This window comes from Homo sapiens, chromosome 19 (assembly GCF_000001405.40).
Source record: "Homo sapiens chromosome 19, GRCh38.p14 Primary Assembly".
Classification (NCBI taxonomy): Eukaryota; Metazoa; Chordata; class Mammalia; order Primates; family Hominidae; genus Homo; species Homo sapiens.
In genome coordinates this window covers 19,033,138-19,060,493 of record NC_000019.10, presented here as the reverse complement: position 1 = coordinate 19,060,493, position 27,356 = coordinate 19,033,138, and the positions used below count along the sequence as shown (strand labels likewise).

The 27,356-nt window shown below is 51.9% G+C and overlaps 2 protein-coding genes across 48 annotated transcripts in view, besides 3 other annotated features; one reads left to right on the top strand and one right to left on the bottom strand.

The window, feature by feature from the left end:
* ARMC6 (armadillo repeat containing 6) lies at positions 2,318-26,891 on the bottom strand. 9 transcript variants are annotated; one of them, NM_001439254.1, is made up of 9 exons: positions 26,481-26,891; positions 26,256-26,363; positions 17,617-17,783; positions 16,420-16,502; positions 8,299-8,872; positions 6,173-6,342; positions 5,098-5,229; positions 4,566-4,703; positions 2,318-3,101 (listed from the first exon to the last, which is right to left on the bottom strand). In NM_001439254.1, exons 2-9 carry the CDS (start codon positions 26,282-26,284, stop codon positions 3,060-3,062), a joined length of 1,335 nt encoding a protein of 444 aa, NP_001426183.1. In that variant the 5' UTR covers positions 26,285-26,363; positions 26,481-26,891; the 3' UTR covers positions 2,318-3,059. The 9 variants fall into 9 exon arrangements, with proteins under 9 accessions (NP_001426183.1, NP_001426181.1, NP_001186125.1 ...); NM_001439252.1 differs by having other exon boundaries at positions 2,318-3,078; NM_001199196.2 differs by having other exon boundaries at positions 2,318-3,078; positions 26,564-26,891.
* Positions 6,415-6,474: an enhancer, noted in NCBI's record as "active region_14335". NCBI's record gives its function as "activates an Ori minimal core promoter by ATAC-STARR-seq in GM12878 lymphoblastoid cells {active_cell/tissue: GM12878}" and the evidence as "EXISTENCE:reporter gene assay evidence [ECO:0000049][PMID:35858748]".
* Positions 8,238-8,738: an enhancer, noted in NCBI's record as "H3K4me1 hESC enhancer chr19:19162565-19163065 (GRCh37/hg19 assembly coordinates)". NCBI's record gives its function as "activates a minimal SCP1, AML or CMV promoter by ChIP-STARR-seq in primed H9 embryonic stem cells {active_cell/tissue: H9 hESC(primed)}" and the evidence as "EXISTENCE:reporter gene assay evidence [ECO:0000049][PMID:30033119]".
* The window catches only part of SUGP2 (SURP and G-patch domain containing 2), a 42,958-nt gene continuing 42,251 nt past the window's right edge, over positions 26,650-27,356 (top strand). For 18 of the 39 annotated variants that reach the window (XR_430124.5, XR_001753576.3, XR_007066515.1 and 15 more), the window contains exon 1: positions 26,923-27,005. Coding sequence is in view for 5 of the 39 variants with exons in the window: in NM_001321698.1 (NP_001308627.1) it covers positions 26,975-27,005 (31 nt within the window). In the remaining 34 variants the exon portion in view is untranslated. Of the gene's footprint in view, positions 26,733-26,922; positions 27,058-27,356 lie in introns of those variants that run through there. The other 21 variants (XR_007066523.1, XR_007066526.1, XR_007066525.1 and 18 more) reach the window with 2 other exon arrangements.
* Positions 26,888-27,317: a silencer, noted in NCBI's record as "silent region_10428". NCBI's record gives its function as "represses an Ori minimal core promoter by ATAC-STARR-seq in GM12878 lymphoblastoid cells {active_cell/tissue: GM12878}" and the evidence as "EXISTENCE:reporter gene assay evidence [ECO:0000049][PMID:35858748]".

The window sequence follows — 27,356 nt, the reverse complement described above, 5'->3', positions numbered from 1 at the left end:
GAGGTGATATGCCTGAAGTGGCCGAGGGGGGATGGAAAGCCAGGCCATAACCCCAGGGAAATGTGAGATCTTTGGTGAGGGGCCCCCACCCAACCTGAGGCTGTCCAAACATGCTAGCTGCATCTACTGAAGACACCCACTTCCTTGGGCTAAGGTGGGAGGGACAGATAAGGCAGAACCACCCCTTCCTGAAGAAGCCTGCAGCTTGGCCCAGGCCCAGGGGAGGACGCTGGGGCCACCTGGCAGGGACCTCGAGTGCTTGTCAGTTTATTCAGGTGAACACTCAAAAACACTGACGGGAAGCTGAAGGCACAGCAAGTGGGGACAGGGGCCTCCCTGCAGGGAGCCAGCCGATGGTGGGGGCAAGACAAACAGGAGAGTTCACAAATGAGGTGACCTCAGATGGGGCCCAGTGTCAGAGCCAGAGCACATGAGGTGATGAGATGGGGGTCTCTCCTGGAGAAGGCAACGTGAGCTGAAACCTCATGTGCTAGGAGGAGCCGGCCACGGGGAAGGCCAAGGGAAGGGCACTTCTAGGCAGAGGGCATGGCTTGTCACATGGGGGCTTGTGCAAAGGCCCTGGGGTGGGGGAATAGGGAGTGAGTACAGTGGAAAGACTGGGAAATGGGCAAGGCCTGGGCCATACTGGGTCTGCAGGGCATGAAGTGCATTTTTTTGTTTGTTTGTTTGTTTTTGAGACAAGCTCTTGATCCGTCACCCAGGCTGGAGTGCAGTGGTGCCATCCTAACTCACTGCAGCCTTGACTCCTGGGCTCAAGTGATCTTCCCGCCTTAGCCCAAGTTGCTGGGACCACAGACAGGTTTGGTTTTATGTAGAAGGCAAAGGGGAGCCATGGGCAGACTGAGAGCAAGGCTGGAGCAGGAATGACAGGGCCAGCACTGCAGGCCGTCCTCGAAATAGCTCAGGAGCACCTACCCCGCCACATGACAGATGAAGAAATGCTTGAGAACTGCCCAAGGTCACACTGGCCCAGAAGTTAAGTCAGGGCAGTCTGGGGCAGATTCGAGATCTTTCTCCCACATCCTGGGAGTCTCCAGGGAGGAGGGATAGGGCGGGGTGACTGGGTCAGAGGTTTGGGCCAGCCCTGCTGAGCTGAGAGCACCCTTTCCTGCTGGGGGCAGGGGAGACGGGGACACCACGGAGAGGTGCAGCCAGGGTGACGCTCCTCAGCTGTTTGCATCGGCTGGATTCCACGGAAGCTGGGGGCCTGCTGGGAAAGGAGTGTCCCTGAGGTCAAGGACTGAGCCCAGGCCATCCTGGGGCTCGGGGAGGCACATGACAAGCAGGGGCGAGGGTCCAAGAGGGGAGAGGCCTCCAAGGTGTGGGCAGGAAGGCTAGGGCACACACCAGTGGTCATGAGGCTGCCCGGACCCCCGTGAGGCCACAAGAGATGCACAAGCCACCTAGTGACCACGGTGTGACCTCTGAGTGTGACTTCAGAGCAGAAGAGCTGGGGTCTGCAGGGCCACAGCTGTCTGGGCACCCCCAGAATGCTTGGGGTGGGGTGGTCACTGAGGGCAACAACAATGATGTCTTTTTTTTTTTTTTTTGAGACAGAGTCTTGCTCTGTTGCCCAGGCTGGAGTGCAGTGGCGTGATCTCAGCTCCCTGCAACCTCTGCTGCCCGGGTTCAAGCACTTCTCCTGTCTCAGCCTCCCAGGTAACTGGTATTACAGGCATACGTCACCACACTGGGCTGATTTTTGTATTTTTTTAGTAGAGACGGGGTTTCACCATATTGGCAAGGCTGGTCTCGAACTCCTGACCTCAAGTGACCCACCCACCTCAGCCTCCCAAAGTGCTGGGATTACAGGCATGAGCCACCGTGCCCGCCGATGTCTATCTTATAGATGGGGAAATCGAGGCTCAGAGACAAGAGGTTGGGTACCTAGGACACCCAGCCTAAGACAACTGGACACCCTCCATGTGCTCAGCCTGGTCCAACACCTCTCAGAGGGCGATCTATCACTGCCCCACTCCTCACTTTAGGAGGAGCATATTGAGGCTCGGAGAGGTTCTTTCACTTGCTCAAGGCCGCAGAGCTGAGTAGGGGATGAACGTGGAGCCCTCCGGCCCTGCAGGTGGTACACGTCAGAAACAGTGATCCTGACCATGGCCTCAGCGCCTGCCTGTCTGAGGGTGACAGCAGATCCTAGATCCCTGGCTGTTCCCAAAACCCCTTTGCTATCCTCAGTGACTCCATGGCCCCCCCCACCAAAATGTCTGTCTCTCCCCCACACTCTGAGGCCACTGACTGTGGCCCCCCATGCTCAGCCAAGCTATGGAAGAGACCCCTCCGCTGTTCACCCAATGATCTTTTATTATCAGGTATCCTGGCTGGCCCAGGACCCAGAGACAGACAAGCTGGGGCCAAGCAGGGCGGAGCATCTGAGACCCATTTTACAGGTAAGAAAGACAAGGAGCAGAGGCCTGCATGAAACTGCAGTAAGCAGCAGGCGCCAGGGGGCCCAACCCCACTGGAATCGCCTGCCCTGCCCTGAGCCTGGCCCACAGTGGCTGCCACATTTCAGACAGGGCAGTGAGTGATGGGACGTGCCCTTTGCCCCCTCTGGTAGGGCGTGGGGCTGGGGGAAGGAGCAGGACAGTAACATCCGTGCTGCTGGCTGGGACCCAGAAGTGGCTGGGACATGGGGGCTGCTTTCTTCTGTGTAGAGGCCTCCCTACAAGGCTCCCCCCTCCCCCGACCCTTTACCTAGGGCCTGCCAGAAAACACTTCTCATTGTGAAGGGGACAGAACTAATGGGGGACAGTGGAGGACATGGATCTACCCCCATTCCTGAGTCACACGACTCACCCAGAGTCACGGCCCAGACTGGGCCTGGGGTCATGGCGCCAGGTTGCCCCTCTGGCCTGTCCACAGCTCTCGGAGCTCGACATGACAACCCAGGTCCCGCAGGGCGGCCTTGGCCACGTCCTCACAGTCACGGTGGGCAGATCGGGCCTGCATGATGAGTGCCTCAGCCCCCAGGTCCAGGATGGGCTTCGAGAAGGCCTGGCCGTGGGCCACCAGGTTTCGGATCAGCATGCAAGCCTGTTTCTGTAGGAGAGAGCAGCTGTGAGCTGCCAGATGGGGCTTTGGGGTGGGGTCCACTCTGACCTCAGGGTCTTCATCATAACAAGATGGAGGTGATCATAACCACAGCTGACATCCAGCAGCTGCCTATACTGTATCAAGCTAGACCCATCTCTCTACTTTACCCTCTTGGCAGCCCCACAAGGCATGGCTAACTCCCAGGCAAGGAAACAGGCTCAGGGAAGCTCCAGGATCTATCCTATGGCTTTGGAACTCTCAGCCTCAGAGTTGGTGAGCCTGAGGTCCCCCGAGGCTGGCACAGAGCCAAGGAAGGGGCCCTAGGGCAAGGGGGCAGTGAGGCCACGGGAAGACAGTGGTTGTGCACAGGCACCTGTCAATTACATCCCTACCCATTCAGTGGACATTTGTGCCCTGTGCACCTGCTGTGGGTGGGCGCGGGGCACTGCCTGGAAGCTTCCCAGGGTGGCTCCCACCACCAGCAGGACAGCAGGTGGGAAGCGCATGCAGAGTGGGGAACTGCTGGCCAGGGTGGCCAGAAGTGGACAAGGGGTCAGACCAGGTAAGGGTCAGTGTCCCAGAGTAAGAGCCAGCGAGAGCAAAGGCCCCCTGTGGGTCCCAGCCTGGTGTGTCCAAGAATCCTATGCTGGGAGTGAGGAGGCGAGGAGGGCCCCGGGGGCTGCACGGAGGAGTCTGGGTTCAGCCAGGGAGGTGTGGACAGGGTGTCCCACACTCAGAACTCAGACCAGCAGCCCAAGGAGGGGGCAGAAACCTTTCTGAAACCCCAGGCAGATCCCCATCCACGCTTCCCCAACTTCTTTCTCCCCAGATCTCTCTATAGGGACTTTTAAAAAAGGAGATTAAGGGTGCGGTGGCTCACACCTGTAATCCCAGCACTTTGGGAGGTGGAGGTGGGTGGATCACCTGAAGTCAGGAGTTCGAGACCAGCCTGGCTAACATGGCAAAACCTTGTCTCTACTAAAAATACAAAAATTAGCTGGGCGTGGTGGCCCATGCCTGTGATCCCAGCTACTCGGGAGACTGAGACAGGAGAATCGCTTGAACCCAGGAGGCAGAGGTTGCAGTGAGCTGAGATGGCGCCACTGCACTCCAGCCTGGGCGACAGAGTGAGACTGTCTCAAAAAAAAAAAAAAAAAACCCACAGAAGGAGATTACGTGTTATAGCTTTCTTTCCAGGGTTTCACCAGAAAGCCCCTCCAAACTACCCCCTCCCCAAAAAAGGAGAGTAAATGCAGAAAAAACAAAGGCAGAGAAGGAGGCAAATGAAGGCAGAATTCAGCACATTTTGCAAGATGAGAAAGAAGTTGGCCCTATGGGGCTCGGCTGTGGGAGGGACAGGGACAGGGATAGGGATAGGGACTGAGCCTTTGCCCCATCACCCACCCGCACACCGCACCTGCTCCCATGCCCTCTCTGCACCTACCTGCACATCCCACACCAGCCTGCCTGCCCCCATCCCCTGCCCTGCCCACCTGCACGCCGGCCTTCTGCGGGTGTGCCTTCATGGCCTGCAGTGCTGCCACAGCCCCGCCACCCTCCACGATGATGCGGCTGTTGTCGGGCTTACGCAGGGCCAGGAAGCACAGGGCCGCGCAGCTCTGCTCACACACCTGCAGGGGCCAGTCACAGAAAGGCTGAGATGCAGCAGATAGACCCCCCACAACATCCTGCCATGGCCACCAACCCCTGGTGAACACCCTGCGGCCTCCCCTCCGTGGGTCTCTGGCAACTCCTGTGTAATAATGGCAGGGTGACAAAAATATCAGCTCAGCTCTTAGGGGTGACAAGGGCAATAGGCCTGGTCAGATCTTTGCAGGGTGCTGGTGGTAACTCCAGGACACCCAAAGTCATGCATACGCAGGTCAGCATTTGAGAGCCAATGCCCACGACCCTCACCAGCCCTGCCCTGGCCCTGCAGGGGAATAGAGCTTCATGCAGATACAGAAACTGAACTGGGACTCCAGCCACCACCCTGCTACTGTGTGTGCCCCCCGAGGTGGGTACCTGGGGGCTGGTCAGATGCTGGGTCATAGCAGCCACGATGGACTCCGTCCCACCAGCACGGACAATAGCATCTTTCACGTCGTCGTTGCCTGCGATGGCTCGCAGGGTGCTCAGCACTTGCTTCACGAGCTCCTGCACAAGGGAAAGGCCCGCTCACCTCCAGCCAGGCCGCTGGTTGTGGGAGAGGGCTCTGAGGGAGAATGTGGGGCTGTTTTGCTGTTTGACCAACAGGTATGGTGTGACTGCAGGGTGTGACTAACGAGAAGGGGTGGCAGATGCCTGTGGCTCAGGCTGCCTGTGTCCAAACGGTACCATCCAGGTGACTTGATCCCCTACCCCGACAGGGGCAGCGGGGGCATGTGACTCAGGCCGGCCTTCAGAGCACAGGGTCCCCCTGTCCACGGCCACAGACCCAGGGTAGGCGCTAACTGCCCTGCACTGAGGACAGTGGATGAGGTGCTACTGGGACTGCTGATCCCCCGATGGAGAACCTGAGGACCCTGCCCCCAACTGCCCAGGAGTACAGGGCAAAATGTATCCCTTCATTTGCTGAAGTTGGTTCCCATTCAGCTCCTGGCCACTTGCACAGAAAGAGGCTGGCTGACGTCAACAGCTGGGCTTGGGGGCGCAGGACCGTGGCACCCCTGGGGGCTTTCCTGCAGCTGCAGCTGGATAGGGAGGCACCTGTTGATTGGCTCCCTGCTGTGGATGGGCACATGGAGAAGGGCTCAATAATCGGCTGCTAAACGGAGTAATGAGTAGGGACACTGCTCTATTCTGTAGCTAGGGAAACTGAGGCAGAGGTGCGGGAACTAACCCAAGTATCCCAGCCTTGGCCGACACACCCCAACCCTATGCTTCCTACCATCCTTTTCCTGGTGCAAAAGGACAATAAGGGAGAGCAGGTGGGTTTGTTTCCCCCCCGACCTTTGGTTCCTGCCCTTGGGTCCGTGAAAAGAAAAACTGCACTTTGGTTCCGACACTGGCAGGCAGGGCTGGCTTGTTCTGACTATAGCTCGTCCGGTTGACTGGGACCCAGAAGGACAGCACGCAATGGGCCAGGGGGACTTCATACCTGAACGCCGCTCTGGTCCCTCATCTGGTGGTCATTGCAGTCGGCTAGCAGGGACACCAGAATGCTCAGGCCCCCGAGGTCGACGACCTCCTGGCAGAACTCGTTGCGAATGGCCAGGCGGGACAGGGTTCCACAGAGCTCGCTCAGGATGCCAGGGTTATCCAGGAACGCTGCAGGGAGAAAGGGAGACGGTGGTGGGGGCGGGAAGAACCAGCCGCAGGGCCCTCTGTTTTGGTGGAGATCCTGCTCCACTGGAAGAGTCCAGCCCTTCTGCCTATTGGAGTGGCCACGGGCACCAGGAAGGCCCCAGGGAACACCAGGGGCTACCTGGGCCTGCAGTGCCCCCTGCTGGCTGCTGGGAAGACTTAAGAATGTGCCCCCCAACCCGCTTCCTTCCATCATGCCCCAAATAAATTCCATACCAACTCATGGTCTCACCTAAAAAAAGAAAACTATAATAGTGCAAAAAAAAAAAAAGACATCTGAAGACTATTTTTATGATCATGGGGTAGGAATGGCTTCTCTAAGTGCAACAGGAAACTCCAGAACCATAGAGGGACACATACGGACTGGGCTGACGTGGCCAAAACTGAACACAGGAGCCGCAGATGGAGCCCAGAGGCGCTGCACCAGGAAGCAGGTGCCGGCACTCACGCCAAGAGGGCGAAGATCCTGCACCTACACAGGGCTGCGACGGTCAGTTCCTGTGACCACCTGTAGCCCTCTGCAGTTCCACCCAATGCCAATCTAGGTGTTGCCGTGGAGGTATTCTGTCCACATGGTTACCATCCACAATCAGCTATCTATTATTATTATTATTATTATTAATTTTTTTGAGACAGAGTCTCGCTTTGTCACCAAGGCTGGAGTGCAGTGGCGTGATCTTGGCTCACCACAATTTCTCCTTCCTAGGCTCAAGAGATCCTTGTGCCTCAGCCTCTCAAGTAACTGGGATTACAGGTGCCCACCACCACGCCCAGCAATTTTTGTATTTTTAGTAGAAACAGGGTTTCATCATGTTGCCCAGGCTGGTCTTGAACTCCTGGGCCCAAACAATCCTTCTACCTCAGCCTCCCAAAGTGCTGACATTACAGGCATGAGCCACCATGCCCAGCCCAGTTGCCTTTAAGTAGAGGAGATGACCTTGAACAATGTGAATGGGACTCATTCCATCAGCTGAAGTCCTTAGAAGGAAACTGAGGTGTTTCCCCGAAAAGGGGACTGCCTGGGGGTTTCCAGCCTGCCCTATGGAGTACAGACTTGCCATAATTGCATGATCCCATTCCTTACCAAAAAGTCTCTTCATATATACATATCCTGTCTCTGGCAGAAACCTAACTGATTGGAGCTCCTATAAATAAAACAGGAAAGATGTGAGCTACCTCCTGGAAAAGCAGCCTGACTTTGCAGAAGGTCGGGACTCATTTTCAGCCTTGCTGGAGGTGTGGAAGGGAGACTGAGGTGGGCCCATCTCCTCAGCAGACAGAGCCAGAACCCCCACACAGGCCTGGCCACAGAACCAGAGTGACGGGGCAGGCAAGAAAGGGGAACTCATCCTCCTAACACCTTCTGTGTGTCAATCAGGACTTTTCTGGTGGGTTCAGTGGATGGGATGGGGGTAGGGGTTAAGACAGAAGCTTTAGGGTCTGACGGTCAGCACTGTGACCTCCCAGGGCTGGCTCACCATGGTCACCCTGGAGCCAGACACATGAATATGCCTAAGGATTTGTGGCTGAATATGATCAAGCGTGTACACATCCAGCTGAGACTGCCATGGTGCATGCCAGCCAGCCCCCCCGAGTCCTCTTATTTCCCTCTGGGGAGGTCCCCCTTCCCCACTCTCAGCCCCTGGAGTTGGACACAGCAAGCCCCTTCCCCAGACAGCTCCAGAGATGGGATTGTGGCCTGCTCCTGGCCCCTGAGTGCTGGCCTGGAATTCTCCTGGAGCCACTAGAAAACATGGGGAGACTCTTCACGAGGGCTGCCATGCAGGCAGGTCTAAGCCGAGGGGCGAGTGGAGCCTTGAGCCTGCCGTGCCTAAAGCAGTCCTGAGCCCTGACCCTCACTCTGGTCACATCTGACCCGCCCACTTTGTTCGCTGGCTCGTGTCGGCCCCCAGCTCTTACCTTTGGTGGCTTCGATGAGCACCTTCAAGCCTTTGTTCTCCTGCACAATCATCTTGGCATGGTTGTGGGCATGGCCAAAGGGCACACGGATGTCGTCATCGAAGGTCATGACACGCAGGGCCCAGCAGGCTTCCCTGACCACGTCAGTGTGGTGGCCATGATGGGTGATGGCACCAGTCAGCAGAGGCAGCACGCCAGCTTTCACCAGGTCTTGCCGATTCTGTTCATGTTTCAGGCAAGCGTGACGCACACAGCGGATCCCAGAGCAGGTCAGGTCAGCCTCATCAGCATTCTGGGTCAGCGTGGCCACTAGGAGCTGCAGGCCCTGGGCATCCAGGAGGTCTGGCTGTCCATCAGTCAGCACCGACAGGGCATTGAGGGACTGGAGCAGAAGGCCCTGGTCACCTGCAGTGGCCAGCTTCCAGGCAGTGAAGATGATGGGGTAGGCCCCCTTCTGGGCCGCGAGGAAGCGGCAGGCCTTGTCCTGTTTGCACTGGTCGCAGAAGCGGGTGAGGTATGCTGACACCTCCTGGGGGCGAGAGCTGGCCACAGACTCCTGGAGGTCACTGAGCATCTGGGAGACATGGGAGAAACCTCAGCATCAGCTCAGGCAAGAGGAACCCATGGCCACAGCAACAGTGTCTGGACCCCTGCAAGGTTCCCTCCCCTGGGATCTGGGCCTGCAGTGGAAGTGATGTGGGGCAAGTTACAGCTCTGGCAACTTCCAGACCTGTGATTCTAGGAGCTTTGAGCTTCAGAGGCCATAGCGTGGAAGACTGACACACACACACACACACACACACACACACACACACACACAGAGAGAGAGAGAGAGATCCAGACAACTCAGTGTCCCTGCCGAAGGGCTGCACACATAAATGCAGACATATTAAACATTCCAGCCCTACCTGCCATCAAGAGGCCCCAAGCGATACCAGCAGAAGAACCATCCAGTTGAGCCCAACCAGGCAGAATCACAAGAAACAATAAGATGCCTGTTGTTTGGGTTGTTTGTCACACAGCTGTAACAAACTGGCACACCTGTCAATGGTCAGCTCTCCAAGGAAGGAGAAAGCCACATTCACCAGACATACCCATCCTGATGTCTCCTTTCATCTCTCTCATTCACTCCACAAACATTTATTGAGCACCTGCCAAATGTGGTTACACTGTACAGAGAGCAGATTTATCCAAATTCAACTCTAAGCCACTGGGGAGAAAATACTTTAAACAACTCAGATAAGTTTAGCTGCCATTCAACTACATGACCTCGGGACATGTCTTAGCATGAGCCAAAGATGAATCTGTGAGCCTGAAGTGTAGGAGATTATTTGCCCTCAGACTGAATCAGGGTGGTTCTACAGAAACCACCAGCCCAAAGGGCTTTGATTTGGCATTGACTGACACGAAAAACAAAGAAGCCTATGGGATAATCCTCACTGAGCTCAGATTTGTGGACCTAAGTATATGTTACAATGCAACAGGATATTTAAAAAGGTAAGTTTTTGCTAAAATGAGATTAGAACTGAAAAACAAAAAACAACAAAAATTAAGTTAACACCAGTGTGCATGACTAGAATAGACATTACTACAAAGAATACATACAAATGGCCACTAATACATGAAAAGATGCTCAATGTCACTAATCATTAGGAAAAATGCAATTCAAACCTACAGAGAAGCCAGGCGTGGTGGCTCATGCCTGTAATCCCAGCATTTTGGGAGGCCAAGGCAGGAGGATCACTTGATCCCAGGAGTTCAAGACTCGCCTGGGCAACATACGGAGCATTCATCTCAAAAAAGAAAATCAAACAGAATTACTGTGTGACCCATCAGTTCCACTTCTGGGGATACACTCAAGAGAACTGAAAGCACAGTCTCAAAGAGATACCTGTACACCCATGTTCATAGCAGCATGATTCATCAGAGCCAAGAGGTTGGAGGTTGCAGGGAGCTGAGCTCGTGCCATTGCACTCCAGCCTGGGCGACAGAGAGAGACTCTGTCTCCAAAAAGAAAAACAAACAAACAAAAAAACACTACAATGACAACAAAGAAATTCAGGCACATAGTATGCTATGGATATACCTTGAGGACATTACGCTAAGTGAAATAAGACAGTCACCAAAAGACAAATACTGTGATTCCATTTATTTAAAAAAAATTTTTTTTTTTAGATGGAGTCTTCCTCTGTCACCCAGGCTGGAGTGGAGTGGTACCATCTCAGCTCACTGCAACCTCCACCTCCTGGGTTCAAACAATCCTCCCGCTTCAGCCTCCTGAGCAGCTGGGACTACAGGCATGTGCCACCACGCCCGGATAATTTTTGTATTTTTAGTGGAGACAGGGTTTCACCATGTTGGCCAGGCTGGTCTCTAACTCCTGACCTCAAAGTGATCTGCCCACCTCAGCCTCCCAAAATGCTGGGATTACAGGCATAAGCCAGGGTGGCCAGCCTGTGATTCCATTTATATGAGGTCCTGGAGTAGTCAAATTTGCAGCAACAGAAGGTAGAATGATGGTTGCTAGAGGCTGAGGGGAAGAGGAACATGGAGTTTGTTTCAGTATCGCAAGTCATGGATAGTCATGATGGTTGCACAACATTATGAATGTACTTAATGACACTGAACTCTACATTTAAAAATGGTTACAATGGTAAATGTTTTTATGCACATTTTACATAACAAACAGCGGTGTAGCACTTCAGCAGAAACCCTGTAAGAAACTTGAAAAGCTCCTGACAGAAATGCCTTTGAGGATGCACAGTATTGGAGTTAGAACTACCAAGATTTCACAAGGAATTACTAAGTTAGCAAGGATGTGTAAACTAAAAATAAAATTCTTGGCCGGGCATGGTGGCTCATGCCTGTAATCTCTTCACTTTGGGAGGCCAAGGCAGGTGTATCGCTTTGAGCTCAGGAGTTCAAGACCAGCCTGGGCAACGTGGTAAAACCCTGTCTCTAAAAAAAATACAAAAATTAGCCAGATGTTGGTGGCTCACACCATGTAGTCAGCTACATGGGAGGCTGAGGCTGAAGAATTGCTTGAGCCCGGGAAGCAGAGGTTTCAGTGAGCTAAGATCACACCACTGCACTCTAGCTGGGGAGACCCTGTCTCAAAAAAAAAAAAAAAAAAAAATCTAAGTCCTCATCCATACTAAGGACCCCTCCTCTTGGCCAAAGGTATTCCAAAGGTAACCTGAAAAACTACTTCAGGTCATGATGGGAAGTGGCGGTCAAATATGTCTCATTTTATCTTCCTGCCTTTGGAAGTCAGACATAACTGATCATCGTAAGACTTTTTTGTAGCAATAAGACACCAAGTTCCAGCCTAACTAATACAGTATGGAAAGAAATCAAAGTATTTTACCCTAAAATATATTTCTCTGACATATTTTGAAATGGCCCTGCAAAGCTATCTCTTGTGGGGAAAAGCTACATTCTACAGAGATTCCCTTTCCAGGTCTTTTCCCTGATTCAGGAGAGAATTAACTAAGAGTCTGGCACCTTTTTAAGTCTGATAAGAAATATTTACAATCTATTTTCTCTGAAGCCTGCTACCTGGAGGCTTCCTTGATAAACCCTTGATCTCCACAACCCGTCTTAAGCAAAATATTCCTTTCTATTGATTCTAGGTCTTTAGATAACTCTTTCAATCAGAAAATCTTTTTTTTTTTTTTCTGAGTCTCATTCTGTTGCCCAGGCTGGAGTACAGTGGCATGATCTCGGCTTACTGCAACCTCCGCCTCCTGGATTCAAGTGATTCTCCCGCCTTAGCCTCCCAAGTAGCTGGGATTATAAGCACCCACTACCATGCCCAGCTAATTTTTGTTTTTTGTTTTTTGTTTTTTTGAGATGCAATTTCGCTCTTGTTACCAAGGCTGGAGTGCAATGGTGCAATCTTGGCTCACTGCAACCTCTGCCTCCCGGGTTCAAGCAATTCTCCTACCTCAGCCTCCTGAGTAGCTGGAGTTACAGGCACCTGCCACCATGCCCGGTTAATTTTTGTATTTTTAGTAGAGACGGGGTTTCATCATGTTGGCCAGGCTGGTCTCGAACACCTGACCTCAGGTGATCCACCTGCCTGGGCTCCCAAAGTGCTGGGATTACAGGTGTGAGCCACCACACGTGGCCTAATTTTTGTATTTTTTGTAGAGATGGGTTTTGCCATGTTGGCCAGGCTGGTCCCAAACTCCTCAGCTCGATGCAATCCGACCACCTCAGCCTCCCAAAATGCTGAAATTACAGACGTGAGCCACAGCACCTGGCCAGAAAAATCTTTAAATGTGTCTATGACCTGGAAGCCCCGGCTTTCAGCTGCCCTACTTTTCCAGACCACACCAATGTACGTCTCACATGTATTGATTGATATCTCATGTCTCCCTAAAACGTATAAAACCAAGCTGTAGCCCGACCACCTTGGACACATGTTCTCAGGAGCTCCCGAGGCTGTGTCATGGGCCTTTGGTCACTCATATTTGGTTCCGAATAAATCTCTTGAAATATTTTATAGAGTATTTTCATTGACAGATGGTTGCTAAAATGCAGGTGGCAGAGCCAGCTGTGTTCTACCTATGACAATTTTCTGTGGCGCTCACCACCTTGCTCATGGAGGGGGGCTTTACCCATTGACTCCTGGAGTCATTCAGTCTCTGTGACTAATGCCTTTCATTCTACAACTTCCCACATATAAATGTGGCCTGGCTGGCTCAGTTTTTCCCTGGACAGTCTCCAGACATTATTTTCCTTCTGTTTCTACAAGCCTGTTTGCAACAAATCTTATGACACAAACAGATTAATTTCAACGACCATCACAATGTTGAATTTTTTTCTCCCTCAACAGATAAGCATTTTTTACACATCTAAGCCAAGATGCACAAAGGTCAATTATGCTGCAGGGCATTTGAGAAGGGGGTTGGTTCAGTTGCGAACTGACCGCTGAGATGCAAACCCCAGTGTCTGGTGGGAGGGACAAGGCAGGGACTTTCAGATTTTACTATAAATGCTTGAGTATTGCTTGAATCCTTTATGCTAAGAATGTATTTCCACTCTTCCTTAATGAAAAATAAAATTTAAAATTAGCCAGGCATGGTGGCAGGTACCTGTAATCCCAGCTACTCAGGAGGCTGAGACAGGAGCATCACTTGAACCTGGGAGGTGGAGGTTGCAATGAGCCGAGATCCTGCCATTGCACTCTAGCATGGGTGACAGAGTGAGAGTTTGTGTCAAAAAAAAAAAAAAAAGAAATAGAAAAAGAAAAAAAAAAAAAAACAGGTGAGCATGTTGGCTCACACCTGTAATCCTGGCATGTTGGCAGGGCAAAGTGGGAGGGTCACTTGAGGGCAGGTGTTCAAGATCATCCTGGGCAATATAGCAAGATCCCATCTCTACAAAACAAAAAATAGGCTGGGCATAGTGGCTCATGCCTATAACCCCAACACTTTGGGAGGCCGAGGCAGGCAGATCACTTGAGGTCAGGAGTTCAAGACCAGCCTGTCCAATGTGGTGAAATCCCATCTCTACTAAAAATACAAAAATCCGCTGGGCGTGGTGGTGCACGCCTGTAATCCCAGCTACTCGGGAGGCTGAGGCAGGAAAATTGCATGAACCTGGGAGAAGGAAGCTGCAGTGAGCTGAGGAAGGGCCACTACACTCCAGCCTGGCCAACAGAGTGAGACTCCATCTCAAAAAATAAATAAATAGGCTGGGCGTGGTGGCTCACACCTGTAATCCCAGCACTTTGGGAGGCCGAGGCAGGCGGATCACAAGGTCAGGAGATCGAGATCATCCTGGCTAACACAGTGAAACCCCATCTCTACTAAAAAATACAAAAAATTAGCCGGGCGTCATGGCAGGCGCCTGTAGTCTCAGCTACTCCAGAGGCTGAGGCAGGAGAATGGCATGAACCTGGGAGGTGGAGCTTGCAGTGAGCCAAGATCACGCCACTGCACTCCAGCCTGGGCGACAGAGCGAGACTCTGTCTCAATAAATAAATGAATAAATAAAAGAACAGTTAAGAAAAAAAAAGGAGCGAATGTTATAAACAAACACGGAGTTTCCTGTACTGCTGGTAGAACGGCCTTTCAGTGCTTTGCTTCCTGGATCCGGGTACCAGCTCTGCCTCTCACCAGCTGACCTTTCGGGGTGCAGGGGCGTGGTCACTGATCCTTGGGAAGCCTCAGATACCTCACCAGCAAGATGGGCTGAGCACAGATTAAGAGAACATATTTTAAGAATTTAGCATAATAGGCCGGGCATAGTGGCTCACGCCTGTAATCCCAGCACTTTGAGAGTCCGAGGCAGACGGATCACGAGGTCAGGAGATGGAGACCATCCTGGCTAACATGGTGAAACCTCGTCTCTACTAAAAATACAAAAAATTAGCCAGGCATGGTGGCGGGCGCCTGTAGTCCCAGCTACTCGGGAGGCTGAGGCAGGAGAATGGCGTGAGCCCAGGAGGCAGAGCTTGCAGTGAGCCAAGATCACGCCACTGCACTCCAGCCTGGGTGACAGAGCGAGACTCTGTCTCAAAAAAAAAAAAAAATTAGCTGGGCATGGTGGTGTGCACCTGTAATCCCAGCTACTTGTGAGGCTGAGGCAGGAGAATTGCTTGAACCCAAGAGGCAGAGGTTGCAGTGAGCCAAGACTGCGCCAGTGTACTCCAGCCTGGGCAACAGAGTGAGACTCTTGTCTCAAAAAAAAAAAGAATTTAGCATAATGCTGAGCACTTAAGAAGTACTTAAGCAGTAACTGCTAGACAATATAGACGATATTGTTATTGAGATCCTTCCTATATAAACTTCATCTACAAATCAGTAGGAAAAAGATGAATCACCCAATGCAAAGATAGCCAGAAGACAAACTCATTTTAAAATAAATTCATCCAGGCTGGGCACTGTGGCCCATGCCTGTAATCCCGGCACTTTGGGAGGCCAACGCGGGCAGATAACCTGAGGTCAGGAGTTCGAGACCAGCCTGGCCAACATAGTGAAACTTCGTCTCTACTACAAACACAAAAAAATTAGTCAGGTGTGGTGGCGTGTGTCTGTAATCCCAGTTACTCGGGAGGCTGAGGCAGGAGAATCACTTGAATCTGGGAGGTGGAAGTTGCAGTGAGCTGAGATCACGCCAGTGCACACCAGCCTGGGCAACAGAGTGAGACTCTGTCTCAATAGATAAATAAATATATATATAATAAAATAAATTCATCCTTATTAGGCAAGAAAGGCAAAAAGCAAACTAACAACAACGAGGCAATTTTCACAAGACCTCCTCAAGGCAGGAGAGGGCAGGACCCCGAGGTAGGGAGAAGTAAGTGTCATGCCTTAGGCAAGCCGGGTTTACACCCAGAGCCGTCTCTTCCAACTTCCTCTCCTATCACTGCACCTCCTGCTCCCATGTCAATGACTTCTCTTCTCTTTGGATCTCAATGTCCCCATCTCTACAATGGGGAAATCCCAGCCTTGCAGGTGTTGTTTGGACAGTGACCAAGAAGACAGGAAAAAAGTACCTGCACAGAACCAGGCCCACAGTCGGTTCTCAAACACCGGAGCCTTCTGCTGTATTACAAAGTTTGATGGGCGACCTTACGGAAAGCATTGAAGTTCTTTTACCTTCCTTCTTTCGGTCTCTGGAGAGGTTAAGTGCCAGCTCCTGGCCTGTTTCCCCATCACTAAGACAGGAATGACACCACCTACTTCACTGGTGAGCTTCAGTGCTAACGGACTGGCTGGAAAGTGCTGGTAAACAGTCAGTGCTCAGTAAGTGACAGCCTTACTGTGAGCCCACTCTCTCGTCCTATGAGTCCTGACCATCTGTCTCTGGGAAGCCAGAGGGGCACCTCTATGGTGTCCCTGACTCTGGGATCCCAGCAGCAGGGACAACCAAGCCATCTACCTGATTTCAGCATACATGCCACCACAGGAGCCTGGGATCCCCTGCATTGGAAGGCATGCCGCCCTCGGACATGGACTCAGGGAGACCTGGCTGCAAACTCAAGCTTGCCCATGCATGCTGGGGAGGGCATGACCTTCAGAGCCTGTATTCTGCCATCCAGGAAACAGGGAAGAGGTGCCCCCAGACAGAGGTGACGCAGGACCTGCTGTGTGGGATGCCCACTCCTACCTGCAGGATGTCATGTGTGGGCTCCTGGGATCCGTCTGCAGAGACTTTAGGTGCCGTCTTTACAATGTTGCTCAGATCAACCCCTGTTGGGGGTGGGGGAAGCAAGCACACAGGGGTCAGAAAGAAAGTGACAGCTGTCATCCCCGTGGGCCTGCTGGAATCACACCTCAGGACCCTTCTGCTGGGACCACCCCACTCCAGAAGCCTCCCACCTCCCTATTCCCGCCCATGCCACATCATCACGGGGGTGTAGAGGGTATTGGGTGTTTCTGCCACTGGTCCGTGGGCCAAAGGGAGCAGAGTGGTAGTGAGGCCGTTGTCACACAAGGCTGTCATCACAGGCCACGTCTGTGCAGTGAGGTGCCACATGCTGCCTGGTGGGCTTGGTGGGGGAGGGAGGGACCCCACAGCCTTCTCCCTTGGGGCTCCCATCCCTCCTGGCTCTGGCTGCATTCTTGCCCCTGCTGGCACCCCCACAGGGAGCCCCTACAGTGCTGGACGCTTTTGCTTGTCCCACTGGCCCCTGTCTAGTGTTCTATACCCCACTCTGTGCCTAGGAGGCTGACCTCTGACCTCTCAGGCTGTACCCTGGGTTTGTTCAATGGGGAAGTGAACTTGAGATGGGGGCAGGAGGAGGGGAGTGTGGGGTGTTCATTCCCAGCCCCCTGCCTCTGCCCCAGGGCCCAGCACCCATCATGTGGCCCCTGCCCAGGACTCCTGCTCCCTGCAGTCAGGGTCTCTGCCGGAGCTAGTTGTGCTAGGGGTGGTCTCCTAACCCCACCCACACCATTGCAAACAGCCCCTCATAACCACACTCATCTGCACCTGGTCTGAACATGCCACCTGTTTCCACAGGCTGCTTCTGCCTCTGTAAGCTCGAGGTAGGGTAGAGTAGGGCAGGGAGGCAGGGGCCCTGTTTCCCAGGCCAGGGTCAGGGAAAGTCTCTTCAAGGAAGTGATCAAATGAGACTCATGAGAAGGATCCAGCCCACAAATATCTGGGCGAGGTGGAAGCAGGTGAGAGGTGGGAGCAGGATAACCAGCCTGCCTCGGGCAGAAGCTGGAGGGGACAGGGCCCAATGGCACCTGGTTTCTATGCCAGGCATGTGGCACCCCCAGTGGGGCGGGGCAGCAGGGCTCTCCCACTGCTCTTGCATCTAAGAGCCAAGGATGGTAGGTGACAGTCACACCACCCTACCTTGCGATTCAAACTGCTCCACGGCCTCTTTCACTGCCTCCTCTGGCCCCATCGCAAACTCCTCGATGTTCTCGCGCACAGCTGCATCAAAGGTCTCCTGGGCAATGCGCTTGGAGACCATCTTCGCCTGTGTTGATGTTGGCGTGCAGCCGATAGATGCTCCTGAGCTGAGAGGTTAGGGCAAAGAGAGAGCTACCTCAAGGGTGAGCAGGCAATGGCAGGGCCTGGCCACCTTGAAAACGCCACTTAGGAAGCATCTACCAGCGACCAGAGCCCTACAACCACCCTGGAGAAATTCTTCCCACCTGTTATCACAGGAAAGGGTGATATCCCTACTTCCCTAGAACTTCTGCAAATACAGAAGAGGCCGGGTGTGATGGCTTAGCCTGTAATCCCGGCACTCTGAGAGGCCGAGGTGGGAGGATCACTTGAGCCTGGGAGGTCAAGGCTGCAGTGAGCCATGATCACACTACTACACTCCAGCCTGGGCCACAGAGTGAGACCCTGTCTTGGGAAAAAAAAACAAAGTGTAGGAGAGAACACAGAGTTTACTACATTTTATCTAAGAAAGGTGGTTCTTTAATATAATGATACTAGTAATGTTATTCTGAAACTATTACGGATGTAGCAAATAATAATGATTATCTTATTAGGAATCAGAATAAAAGAAAAAAGATTCTGGCTGGGCGCAGTGGGTCAATGCCTATAATCCCAACACTTTGGGAAGCTGAGGCAGGAGGATTGCTTGAGCCCAGGAGTTCAAGACCAGCCTGGACAACATGGCAAAAGTCTGTCTCTACCAAAATAAAAATAAAAATTAGCTGAGTGTGGTGGCACATGCCTGTAGTCCCAACTACTCAGGAGGCTGAGGTAGCAGGATCGCTTGAGCCTGGGAGGCCAAGATTGCGCCACTGCACTCCAACCTGGGCAACAGAGCAAGCCCCTGACTCAAAAAGAAAAAAAAAAGATTCTAACATCGTACTATCAACTAAAAACTCGGAACTCCCTATAATTAACAATATTGTATGGTATACTTGAAATTTGCTAAGAGGGTAGATTCTAAGTGTTCTCACCACAAAAAAGAAAAAGGTAACTGTTGATTGAGGTGAGTATTTCACAATCTGCATGCATATAAAATCGTCAAGTTGTATAATGTAAACATATGCAATATATTTGTATCATTTATGTACCATATATAGTATAAGATATACACTATATTAAATACAATTCGCTGGGTGCAGTGGCGCATGCCTGTAATCCCAACACTTTGGGAGGCCGAGGCAGGTGGATGACCTGAGGTCAGGAGTTTAAGACCAGCCTGGCCAGCATGGTGAAATCCCATCTCTGCTAAAAATACAAAAATTAACCGGGCATGGTGGCGGGCACCTGTGATCCCAGCCACTCGGGAGGCTGAGGCAGGAGAATCATTTGAACCCAGGAGGCAGAGGTTGCAGTGAGCCGAGATTGCACCACTGCACACCAGCCTGGGCAACAGAGCAAGATTCCGTCTCAAAAAAAAGTACATCCTATACCTCGATAAAGTTGAGAAAAAAAATCTCAGAACTCCTATATATGAAATGGGAATATCCATATAAACCCATCATGTGTTTTCTCTTAGGTAAACAAAGATCTAATTTTCTAGTCATAGCAACTAAAAATGCCTAGGAGAAATGACAGCACAGGAGCACTGAATACCTCTAACACCATGTATGGTTTCTACCATTTCCCACGAAAAGGAGCTGGGGCCAGGGCTAGGTGGCTCACTCCTGTAATCCCAGCACTTTGGGAGGCTGAGGCAGGAAGATGGCTTGAGGCCAGGAGTTCAACACTAGCCTGGACAACATGGGGAGGCCCTGTCTCTACATAAAATCTTTAAAAACAAGGAGCCAGGGCTTCTGGAGGAATGGCTGATTCCAAGTCCCAGCAGGTCATGGGGCAGGTAACGCTGGGGTCTTGTGAGACCAGGAAGCAAGGAAGCTTCCAAACCCTAAGGGATGCCTGGTAGCTACAGATGAGACAAGTGAGCATTAAAAAAAAATCCAGTACATATCAAAATCAAAATCTGGGCCAGGTGTGGTGGCTCACGTCTGTAATCCCAGCAATCAGGGAGACCGAGGTAGGAGAACCACTTGAGCACAGAGGCGGAGGTTGCAGTGAGCCGAGATCATGCCATTGCACTCCAGCCTGGCTGACAGTCAGACGATGTTGCAAAAAAAAAAAAAAGTCAAACTCTGTGCTTTCATAATACTAAAACAAATACAGCTCAGGCTTCTGAAAACTGGCCAAGAATCCAGCTCTTGGCAGGGAGTGGTGGCATGCTCTTGTACTCCCAGCTACTACTCAGGAGGCTGAGATGGGAGGATCACTTGAATCCAGGAGTTCAAGACCAGCCTGGCCAACGTAGCGAGACACTGTCTCTACAATAATTAGTAACAATTTTTTTAAAAAAAACCTAGCACTTAACCTGCCTCCCTTGTACAAATGAGTCCCAGGTTATAAAAAGAGGATGAGGAAAAGTTCTGCTTCCGATTCCAGCTGATCAGCTGTGACAGGAGAGAAACAGATAATGATCCCACAGGATCCAAAACCATCAGGTGTAAAACTGATGGGAGCCCAACAAGGGGTAGACAGGAACTCAGTCTACTGCTTGATCTCACATCATCAAGAGAAACCAGCAACACCTACCTCCTGAACAAGAACAAAATGCACCTGTGAAGTCATCGTGCCAAAATCTCAAACCCGAATCTGATCATGCATTCAGGGCACTTCCTGCTATGATGAAACGTTCTCTATCTGCACTGCCTAGTACAGAAGCCATTGGCCTCTGTGGCTATCACACAGCTGAAGTGTGGCAGTGTGGCTGAGGAACTGAGTGTGTAATTTTATTTCATTTTAATTTGTTAATGTAAATAGCCATGTGTGACGAGTGACTATGGTATTGCACAGCACAGCTCTGACACCTTAACCAACACCATGGGGATGTGATCTGCAAAATCCCTACTAGGGAAGAGAATGTCAACTAGAGGACAAACACCCAGAGTTTTCAACAAATAAATCACAAGAACAAAGAAAAGGAGACGGAGTCTACCAACAGATGAATGGATAAAATGGTCTGTGCGCATGGTGGTATATTACTCAGCCAGAGAAAGGAATGAGGTGCTGAAGCATGCTACAATGGAGATAGACCTCAAAAACATGATGTCTCGTCAAAGAAGCCAGACACGAAAAGCCTCATATTGCACGATTCCAATGACATGAAATATCCAGAACAGGCAAATCCACAGACACAAAAAGCAGACTGGGTGTTGCCAGGGACTGGAGGAGAGGGAATGGGGAGTAACTTCTAATGGGTATAGGGTTTCCTTCTGGGTGATGAAAACGTTCTTGAATTATAGTGATGATGGTTGTACAACTCTGTGAAAACGTAAAATCACTACATCAGGCCAGGCATGGTGGCTCACACCTGTGATCCCAGTGCTTTAGGAGGCCAAGGTGGGAGGACTGTTTCAAGTCTGGAGTTTGAGACCAGCAAGGACAACATAGTAAGGCCCCGTCTCTACAAAAAAATTTAAAAATATAGTCAGGTGTGGTGGCATTTGCGTGTGGTTGAAGTTACTCGGGAGGCTGAAGCAGGAGGATCATTTGAGCCCAGGAGTTCAAGGCTGCAGTGAGCTGTGACTGGGCCACTGCACTCCGGTCTGGATGACAGAGGGAGACCATGTCTCCAGAAGAAAAAAAAAAATTACTAAATCAAATGAGTGAATATTATGGTATGTAAATTATAGCTCAATTTCTTAAAGTGCTAATCTGTTTAAAAACAAAAAGAACTGAGCAATGACTTGTGCCTGTAATCTCAGCAACTTGGGAGGCTAAGGCGGGGGGATCACTCAAGCACAGGAGTTTGAGACCAGCCTGCGGCAACACAGTGAGACCATATCTCTTAAAAAAAATGTGTGTGTGTGTGTGTGTGTGTGTGTGTATACACACAAACCCACCTTATAAAATAAAAATAAGCAAGTAAGGCCAGGCATGGTGGCTCATGCCTGTAATACCAGCACTTTGGGAGGCCAAGGCAGGCAGATCACCTGAGGTCAGGAGTTCAAGACCAACATGGCGAAACCCCGTCTCTACTAAATATACAAAAATTAGTGGGGCGCCTGTAATCCCAGCTACTCGGGAGGCTGAGGCAGGAGAATGGCTTGAACCAGGGAGGTGGAGGTTGCAGTGAGACAAGATCACGCCATCGCACTCCAGCCTGGGCAACAAGAGCAAGACTTCGTCTCAAAAAATAAATAAATAAACAAACAAGTAAAACCCAGTATAGGCATACCCTGGAAACCAGGGGTAGGTATCAACACTTAGATGACCCACTAACCTTGGGCAGTACCTTCCACTCTGACAGGTGGGAACAAGACATAGAGTTAAGTAAGATAAAACTCTTGGTAAAAACACCAAATCCCTTTGCAATTCTGTTTCAAACCTGTAGCTCAGCAGTCCCAACCTTTTTAGCCTAAGGGACCAGTTTCGTGGAAGACAATTTTTCCATGGATATGGTGGGGCTAGGGTGGGGATGGTTTCAGGATTGTTCAAGCTCATTACATTTATTGTGCACTTTATTTCTATTATTGTTACATTGTAATATAATAATTATACTATTCACTGTAATGTAGGATCAGTGGGAGCCCTGAGCTTGTTGTCTGGCAACTAGACAGTCCCATCTGGGGGTGATGGGAGATAGTGACAGATCATCAGGCATTAGATTTTCATAAGGAGTGCCCAACCTAAATCGCTTGCATGTGCAGTTCACAGTAGGGTTCGTGCTCCTATAATTTAATGCTGCTGATCTGACAGGAGGTAGAGCTCAGGCATAATGCAAGTGATGGGGAGTTGCTGTAAATACAGATGAAGCTTCACTCGCTCACCCTACGCTTGCCTCCTGCTGTGCAGCCCAGGTCCTAACAGGCCAGGGACCACTGGACCAGTATGGGTCTGTGACCCAGGAATTGGGGACCCCTGCTGTAGATGATCTTAACCAGAAGGTCTTGACAGGGTACGAGTGAACCTAACATTTGCCACCGTCCCTTTGGAACAAAAGGAGGAACAGGCCTTAGGTCCAGAGCCTAACAGAGGTTAACAACTTTTTAAATTTTAATTGTTTCAATATATCCACCTTGCTTATTGCAGTAATATCAAGTTTCCGTTCTGGAATTATCAAGTTTCCACTTCAGGCCAGGCATGGTGGCCTGCACTTTGGGAGGCCGAGGCGGAAGGATCACATGAGGCCAGGAGTTTGAGACCAGCCTGGACACGTGGCGAAACTCCATCTCTATAAAAAATACCAAAATTAGCCAGGTGTGGGAGCATGCACCTGTAGTTACAGCTATTTGGGAGGCTGAGGTGGGAGCCCAGGGAGGTCAAGGCTGCAGTGAGCTGAGATCATATCCCTGAACTCCAGCCTGGGTGACAAAGTAAGACCTTGTCTCAAAAAAAAAAAAAAAGGAAAAAGAAACAGGTCACTCTGGCCCATGCTTCTCTTTTCAGGCAGTGGCATGGGATATACACATTCCATCTGTGTTCCTGCAGATGCCCACCATGGACTGCACACTGCCTGACGGGAGAAGGACTGGCTCGCAGCCAGCCTGCAGAACCCAGTTCCCATGCCCTCCACTTCAATGCCCTTTTCTTTTTTTTTTGAGACAGAGTCTCGCTCTGTCGCCCAGGTTGGAATGCAGTGGCACGATCTTGGCTCACCACAACCTCTGCCTCCTGGGTTCAAGCGATTCTTGTGCCTCAGCCTCCAAGTAGCTGAGACTACAGGCCCACGCCACCACGCCCAGCTAATTTTCGTATTTTTAGTAGAGACAGGGTTTCACCATGTTGGCCAGGCTAGTCTCGAACTCCTGACCTCAGGTGACCCACCTGCCTCGGCCTCCCATCATGCTGGGATTACAGGCATGAGCCACCACGCCCAGCCAGATACACTTTTCTTCAATTCCCTCATGTGTCAAACAGAGATAAACACGAATCTACTTCATAGGGCAGTAGTGAAAAATTCAGCCAACTCCTATACCTTCCTCAGAACAGGATATGGACAGGCTCAATAAATTAGCTATTTGTTCCTTTCCTTTGTTGCTTAAGAGGCAATTCAGCAAGTTTATGCAGGAGTCCCATCTCACTCTTTTGCAGATAGGCCCCTCTCCTTTCTGCCCCAGAAGAAAAGGGAGCTCTTTAAGGGCTGCTATGGATTTCCAAGGTTAAAGGTGAAGGAAGAGTAATATAAAGAGTTTCTCAGTAGGGAGTAAGGAGTAGGGGACTCCACTCCCACCACCCCGGCCAGGCCAGGAAATTCCTTGTGGCCCTCAAGATCTTTACCTGAAAACAATTTTGTTGAATGTCACCCTGGCAATGTAAATTGACAGGTGATCTTCACAAGTGCAGGACAGAAAGTCATCACCTGAGACAAATGCATATCCAGTTGCTCTCTCTGCCCTAACGTTTATGTAAAAATGCAGATTTGGCCTGGCTCCGTGGCTCATGCCTGTAATCCCAGCATTTTGGGAGGCTGACACCGGTGGATCACCTGAGGTCAGGAATTCGAGACCAGCCTGACCAACATGGCGAAACCCCGTCTCTACTAAAAATATAAAAATTAACTGGGCGTGGTAGTGGGCGCCTGTAATCCTAGCTACTCAGGAGGCTGAGGCAAGAGAATTGCTTGAACCCGGGAGGTGGAGGTTGCAGTGAGCCAAGATTGCGCCATTGCACTCCAGCCTGGGCGACAGAGCGAGACTCTATCTCAAAAAATAAAACAAAAAACAAGAAACAAAACCTCAGATTCATGAGTCGGACTGAGGCATAAATGACTATTCCTCTACCTGCCCTGTACCCCATATAAATCGTGTATTCTGTGAAAGGCTGACCAAAGACTCAAAAGAAAGCAATCATTTGTCTCTACCTGTGACCATCTTACACATATTCATTTATATCTCACGTCTCCCTAAAATGTATAAAAGCAAGCTGTGCCCCAACCACCTTGGGTACATGTTGTCAGGACCTCCTGAGGCTGTGTCACAGACATGTCCTTAACCTTGGCAAAATAAGCTTTCTAACTGATTGACACCTGTCTCAAATACTTCGGATTCTCAGTCCTCTGTGGAGCTTCTGCCAGCCCTTCCAGGTGGCTGCCTTTCCTGGCCACTCAGAGAGCCCACACTCTCTGGCTTCACTCCCCAACCCACAACCCCTCCCTTCCACCCACCCCTGAGCTGACTGAGTTGGGAAGGTCTGGCTCTGTGACCACCCCTGACCTGAGTCCTCCAAGGTCCCCTAGATCTGGTACAGGGCTGAGTTGGAGGAGGAAAGTACAGATTTGGAACACATAAGATGGTGCCTGGAGATGGCCAAGTAAGAATTACCTGGAGAACAGCCTAGGCTAAAAGGGGGAAGCAGCATTACCAGTCCCTATTATCCATCAGGGCATGCTGAGGGTAAAACAGAAGATGAGTAAGGCCCCTAACTGGCAGCCAGTTTCCTTCTCTCAGCCAGGAATCTGCTCATCAAGAAAACTGTGCTGTCCAGGTGCGGTGGCTCAGGCCTATAATCCCAGCGCTTTGGGAGTCTGAGGCGGGTAGATCACTTGAGGTCAGGAGTTTGAGAACAGCCTGGCCAACATAGCAAAATCCTGTCTCTACTGAAAATACAAAAAATTAGCCAGGGCCGGGCACGGTGGCTCACGCCTGTAATCCCAGCACTTTGGGAGGCCGAAGCGGGCGGATCATGAGGTCAGGAGATCAAGACCATCCTGGCTAACACGGTGAAACCCCGTCTCTACTAAAAAAATACAAAAAAACTAGCCGGGCGTGGTGGCGGGTGCCTGTATTTCCAGCTACTCGGGAGGCTGAGGCAGGAGAATGGCCTGAACCCAGGAGACGGAGCTTGCAGTGAGCTGAGATTGCGCCACTGCACTCCAGCCTGGGTGACAGAACGAGACTCCGTCTCAAAAAAAAAAAAAAAGGCCAGGCAAGATAGTGCACACCGGTAATCCCAGCTACTCAGGAGGCTGAGGCAGGAGATCGCTTGAACTCCTTTTGACTCCGTTTCAAAAAAAAAAAAAATACAAAATTTAGCCAGGTGCGGTGTTGCGCACCTGTAGTCCCAGCTACTCGGGAGGCTGAGGCAGGGGAAGCCCTTGAACCCGGGAGGTGGAGGTTGCAGTGAGTCAAGATCATGCCACTACACTCTAGCCTGGGCGACAGAGAAAGACTCCGTCTCAAAAGAAAATTAAACGTGTGCCATGACATGCTGGGGACTCTAAAAGACTCCATCCACATGTCCCTCTACCAGCCACACCCACTCTGGTTCAAACACCAGCCTCCCCTAAGGGCGGCGTCACCTGCCACTCCCAGAGCCTAGACTCCACCTCACTCACGTGCTCAAAGCCCGGTAGTGGCTTCCCAACCCTCTCAGAACAAAACCCAGCCTCCTTATCCGCACCTTCTCTATCTAAGCCTTCCAAGTTCCTCTTCCCCGCCTTTCTCATCCTTCCCAGCACTCAAGAGACAGCCTTCAAAACCACTTCTAGATAAAGAGCAGCCCTGCTTTCCCGTCCCATCACTCTGTTATTATTTGCACACCATTACCTGTATCTAGAGCAACATCGTTCACTCATTTATTTGTACCCTGTAGCCTCCTTGTCCCCACTGCCTAGGACGGGGCCCGACACGCAGCAGGCACTCAGTGCACAGGTGCTGAATGAATAAATAAAATGAATGAAAATAAAGCGAATGCCAGGGAAGCCGAGGATTTTGTCCCCAGGCGGCTTCTGTAAAATTCTTTCATTTTTTTTTTCCCCCCAAACCACGTACCCGAGGGTCGCGCCAGCCCGACCCTGCGGCACCCCCACTCCCCACTCCGCGCGGGACAGGCCTCGGCAGCCGCAGCGTCTCACCCGGTCTTCGCGGCCACGTGGGGAAAGGTGGGGCGCGCGGTTGTCACCCAGGGAGCCGCCTCTAGCCCCTTCCGGCCGCCGTACGCGCGCAGGCGCTGTGGCGCCCCTAGGCTTGGCCTCCCAGAGACTCGCGGACGCTCACGATAACCAAGGACGACCGCGAACCAAGGTAAAGCCAACGAGGCCACCTCGTGCGCGACGGAGGCGTCTTTGCCGCCCCTTCCGGGACGCTCACGGTGGTCGCCGCCCCCAGCAGGGAAATGTTTTGCCTCCAGAGCGTCCGCCCAGAAGAAGCGGACAGCGCGCTTGCGCAAGAGAGCCGGGCCGCGGCGGCCCGCGCCTGCGCACCAGGACTCGGCGGCGGCTTGCGCCTGCGCGGCGCGGCGCTGCGGAGACCGTTGGTTCATTTGCATGTCCCCGCCTCGCGCGGCGGCGGCGGCGGGTGAGGAGCCTGAGGCGGCGGCGGGGGTGGCTCCGCGCGCGGTGGTCTCGGGGTGAGGCCCGGGCCCTGGCGTCGTCGGTGGGTGGCTCCCGGGGTGGGAAGCTCGGGCTCGGCCTTGGGGGCCCGCCCCGGGCTCCGTGATGGCGTCGCAGGCTCGGCCCTCTGGCTGCGGCGGCGGCCGCGTCCCCGCCGGGTTGGCCTGGGTGGCCGGCTGCGGCCTCCCGGGCCCGGCGCCCCCATTTCCTCGCCCGCAGAGGCCGGGAGACGGCGGGCCGCGTCCACAAAGGCTCATTGGTTCAGTCGTTCATTCATTCCTCCCGAACTCGGAGCGGCCCCCGCTCGGGAGGAGAT

Bases quoted from the DNA above. Each gene is read 5' to 3' on its own strand.
- ARMC6 (NM_001439252.1), bottom strand. From the start codon at position 26,284: ATGAGTGAACGATGTTGCTCTAGATACAG. The intron at 16,503-17,616 runs GTAGGGTGGTGT...CACCCCCAACAG, and splicing joins GGAGCAGTTTGAATCGCAAG to GGGTTGATCTGAGCAACATT. The intron at 8,873-16,419 runs GTAGGAGTGGGC...CATGTCTCCCAG, and splicing joins CCACACATGACATCCTGCAG to ATGCTCAGTGACCTCCAGGA.